This window comes from Homo sapiens, chromosome 12, assembly GCF_000001405.40.
Source record: "Homo sapiens chromosome 12, GRCh38.p14 Primary Assembly".
NCBI classification, from domain to species: domain Eukaryota; kingdom Metazoa; phylum Chordata; class Mammalia; order Primates; family Hominidae; genus Homo; species Homo sapiens.
The window spans coordinates 84,804,594-84,809,009 of NC_000012.12; the positions used below are offsets into that span (position 1 = coordinate 84,804,594).

Sequence of the window (4,416 nt, forward strand, 5' to 3'; positions counted from 1 at the left end):
AATTAATAACTGATTGAAGTGATTACAATAAAGATAAAACTCATAGACTCCTGAGGATTTTATTAAATCTCTACAGCCTTCTATTTATATTTTAATTTTTTTCTCACTGCTCAGCATGCAAGTGGGAATTACTGGAACACAACATGAAGGACTGTCCTCTGGGCATCTACAGTCCCTGCAAAGCGGCTAGAAAACTTTAATGTTTCAAAAGCAAACTCCAGTTTGCTTTGGATTAATTTTCTTGTAAAGATCTTGCCTGAGAGGGTAGTTAGAGGTATGAAACAATGTTTCATTTTAATGCCAAAGAGACTTTAAGTGACTTGCCCAAGGTCATCAATTGTCACTAAAATAATAGAGAAAAAAATTCCACCTCTTTGTATGTGTTGCTCTTTCATTCACTAGATCAGTGATTTATAGTCTCTGCCTAAAGCTGTGAAAAGCATAACCAAACCTCCTGATAGGCAACTGAAATATTCACTTTTCAGGTGATTTTTCCCACTCGGATTTTGGCAAGCTATCCAGTGTGGTGCACTAGAAAGAACACAGGAGCCGGAATAATAAGCCGGAATAATTAATCCAAAGAGGAGGGTTATAGTCTCAGCTATCACTTATATCACATGGCTGCCCCCCATATTTGCAGTTGAATGTAGCCAATTGTCTGACTTTTAGTCAGGGGAAGAGTAGTGAAAGTGAAATGTGCGACTTTCAGCACTAGACTGTGAAACCTCTCCTGGGCCTCTTTCATGGTCTTTCCTTATGCACTTGGTTGATAGAGACGAACAATGGAACTTTCAAAGGTATGTGTATATGATGGAAACATTCAAAAAGTAACCAAGATAGACATAAAGCTCCCCTCAATTTGACAAACTTGAGACAGATTTAGATAGGTTTCTTCCTGACTGAAGCTTCCAACCTCTTTCCTTAGGGTGTTCAAAAAATTTGCGATTACTAATTCTTTCTCTGCCCCTTTGAGATGCAAATTTTCTACAACGCAGGAATGTCTTTCTCAAAAACCTGAGAGCCATCCCTTTGAAATGCAATCATGGAGAAAGATAGAGCCCCTACATCTATGGGAATGTAGGAGTCTAACTTCAGTAAGCCCAAATAGCAAATGCAAATGGTCTAATCACATTGACCACACTGACTAATGCCCTCCAGCACTCCTTCACTCCCTCATCAGAGTGCTTACTCTTCTCTCCTTTCATTTCAATGGCATTGAATTTATTCTCCTTCTCTGACAGCAATAATCTTGACATGTATTGCTATAGTCTTGAATAAAGTCTTTCTTGTCTGTTTGATAGGTCCAGTGCAATCTTTGACAGAAGTAGCACAGAGTCACTATATCACCTCATGGATTTTTTTTTTTTTTTTTTTTTTACATTCACTATACAGTAACACTGTTTTGGACTTGTCATAAATTTAAAAAAAAAAACAATTCTATTGTTTCAGTTATTAAGGCATTTGGGGTTGATCAATAGAACAATTAACTTTACCTTAATATAATCCCTAAAACAAATACTCACTCCTTCTTTCTTTCTTTTTTTTTTTTTTTTTTTGGCAAAGTCTCGCACTGTTACCCAGGCTGGAGTGCAGTGGCACCACCTTGGCTCACTGCAACCTCTGTCTCCTGGGTTCAAGCGATTCTCCTGCCTCAGCCTCCTGAGTAGCTGGGATTACAGGCATGCACCACCACGCCTGGCTAATTTTTGTATTTTTAGTAGAGACGGGGTTTCACCATGTTATTCAGGCTGGTTTCGAACTCCTGACTTTGTGATCTGTCCACCTCGGCCTCCCAAAGTGCTGGAATTACAGGCATGAGCCACCACACCCGGGCCCTTCTTTCTTATTCATCATTGTTTCCCTATAATCTTGAGAACACAGAAGAAGGTGAGAAAAAAAAAAAAATCTAATTGGGAGGAGTCAGGAAAGTTTTCCAAAAGGTAACATTGATATAAAAACTTACTGAGAAGAAATTTTTCAAGAGCTGATGTCTTTAAAGAGTGATAAGCACATACAAACCGAATACCATAGAAGTAACCAGGAGATGTCACAAACTAGCTTCAAGCTATAATTAGGTCACATAAAATCAAAGAGTTTGGATTGATGCTAAATCAGTATATATGGGCTAAATAGCAATATCTGAATCTCTTTGTTACTGTTGATGAATTTTAAACTTAGCCAGGGTGTAGGTTTTTACTGGACCAAGAATGATAGAAAAAAAACTAAGATTCAGAGCACACAGAAATCAGAGAACTGAGGAAATCCAGGAAGCTGGTGGGGAACTTAATTCAAAAAGCTGAAGAAATAGCTAGACAGAAGCATATATCAAAGTCAAGAATATGGAACTAGCAATATACTGATCACAGATATTAGCTAGAAGAGTGTAGATGGTTATTGCAGTAGTACAGGAGAAAAAAATAAGGACCTAAATGTGTGGCATTATGGTGGAGGGAAAGAATCAGATAAAAGAAATGCAATCCACAGAACTCTGTAATTGATAGACTTTGAGAGACTTTACAGAGGAAAATCCACTGGGCCTCAGGTTAATGGCTTCTGGCATAGGCAAATGATAGATAATGTAGTCATTCACTGAAATTGCATGAATGGATTTTATTGACAGTTTTAGTTAAAAATAACAAGATCATTTAGGATAAGGCAAATTTTGAAATCTTTATGAAATATCCAGGTTGAAGTACAAGTTTTTGAATAATTAAGAACATGAAGCATGCATTCTGATGAGAGTTGAAGTGTTTGGCAGGTTATTGAATTTGAAATAGGGGTGACAGAGCCCACAGTGGGTTATAAATGGAGTCATGAGTTGCCAATGAGTCAGTGACAGAGTAAAAGCAAAAAACTCTGACTCAGAACATGGGAAAAGACTGATGGCTGGAAGAGCTTGTGAGAGTCCACATCAATTTGCTTCAGATAAAAATGAGTCAAGAACTCCATGGACAGGGGTGCAATGACACCAACTTGCAGCTTAATAGAATATGGAAGGGAGACTTCAGATAATACTCTGTTTACTGCCAAAATCTATCCTCAATTAAGTTAAACTTTGATTTAGCTTAAGTTAAAAAACAAACAAATATAATATAATATGCAAGTAGGGGTTATCAGATTATCTATTTGATTCTTGGAATTAACAGCAGGCAAAGGACAGATTTGAGTGGCTGGTACTTTTTATTCACATGGAATGGAAAGTAAGGATTTAGACTTAAAGATAGTTGGCAACAGAGCGTCAGCTATCTGAGTCACAAAAAGATCACCTGCAATCAATACAAAATTTATTTTCCATACTTGAAGGTGTAGTAGGAGTTGGCATATGGTATACTGAGTGAGGTGCTCATGAAACAGTGCGTGCTTTGTCTCAGTTAAACTTGTTAAGCAATAGTGGCACTTCATTTAGATTTTTCTCACAAAATAAACTGATTTATTATTGCCAAAATTAAAAAAAAATTGTTTCCCTAAGTAGTCAAAAATTTAAAATTGTCTCAAGGAGATTATCAATCAGCTGTATATAAAATTTTGCCTGTCTTCTTTTACTAGGCCTATTATAGACTTCTAATAATAAATATGTTTGTGCTATCTGTTACTGACAGAAAAATTATTCCAAAGTCTTGAACAGAAAAATTAGGTATTGTCTTACATGACTGAAAAATTCAGAAGTTATTTGATCAGCAGTTGAAATAATGTTCTAGGATTTAGTTTCCTATTCTCTATCACTCAACTCTACTATCCCTAATATCAGTGCTATTCTCCAGTAAGCTTTCCCCTCTTGATTTAAAAACAGCTTAAGCAGCTCAAAACTATACGTGCTCCAAGTTTCATGTTTTTTAAGAAAGTGTGAGATTATCCTATCCAAGACCACCCCCTCCACCATGAGGTTTCATTCATCTCATTGGCCCTGAATGTGTCATATGTTCATCTATGAATCCATCACTGCAGCCAGAGTAATGTGCTCTGCTGATTAGCCAGATCTAGGTAATATATACTTTTGTGTCTTCACAGTAAAATCAGCTTTATCCAAACCACATGGAATGAAACTGAAAGATATTGCAGTTTTCAAGAACAAAATGTACCCTATAAATATATACACCTACTAAGTACCCACAATAATTTAAAAAAATAAATAAAGAATAGATAAGTCCTGGGTGCAAAATATATATATATATTTTTTTTTTTTGAGACAAAGTCCCACACTGTTGCCGGGCAGGAGTGTAGTGACGCCATCTCGGCTCACTGCAACTTCCACCTCCCAGGTTCAAATTGACTCTCATGCCTCAACCTCCCAAGTAGCTGAGATTACAAGGTCACACCATCACACTGGCTAATTTTTGTATTTTTAGTAGATAAGGGGTTTCACCATGTTGTCCAGGCTCGTCTCTAACTCCTGACCTCAATAGAGATCCACCCGCC

The 4,416-nt window shown here is 37.0% G+C and overlaps 1 annotated feature.

The window, feature by feature from the left end:
* Window positions 505-1,363: an enhancer, noted in NCBI's record as "OCT4-NANOG hESC enhancer chr12:85198877-85199735 (GRCh37/hg19 assembly coordinates)". NCBI's record gives its function as "activates a minimal SCP1, AML or CMV promoter by ChIP-STARR-seq in naive H9 embryonic stem cells {active_cell/tissue: H9 hESC(naive)}" and the evidence as "EXISTENCE:reporter gene assay evidence [ECO:0000049][PMID:30033119]".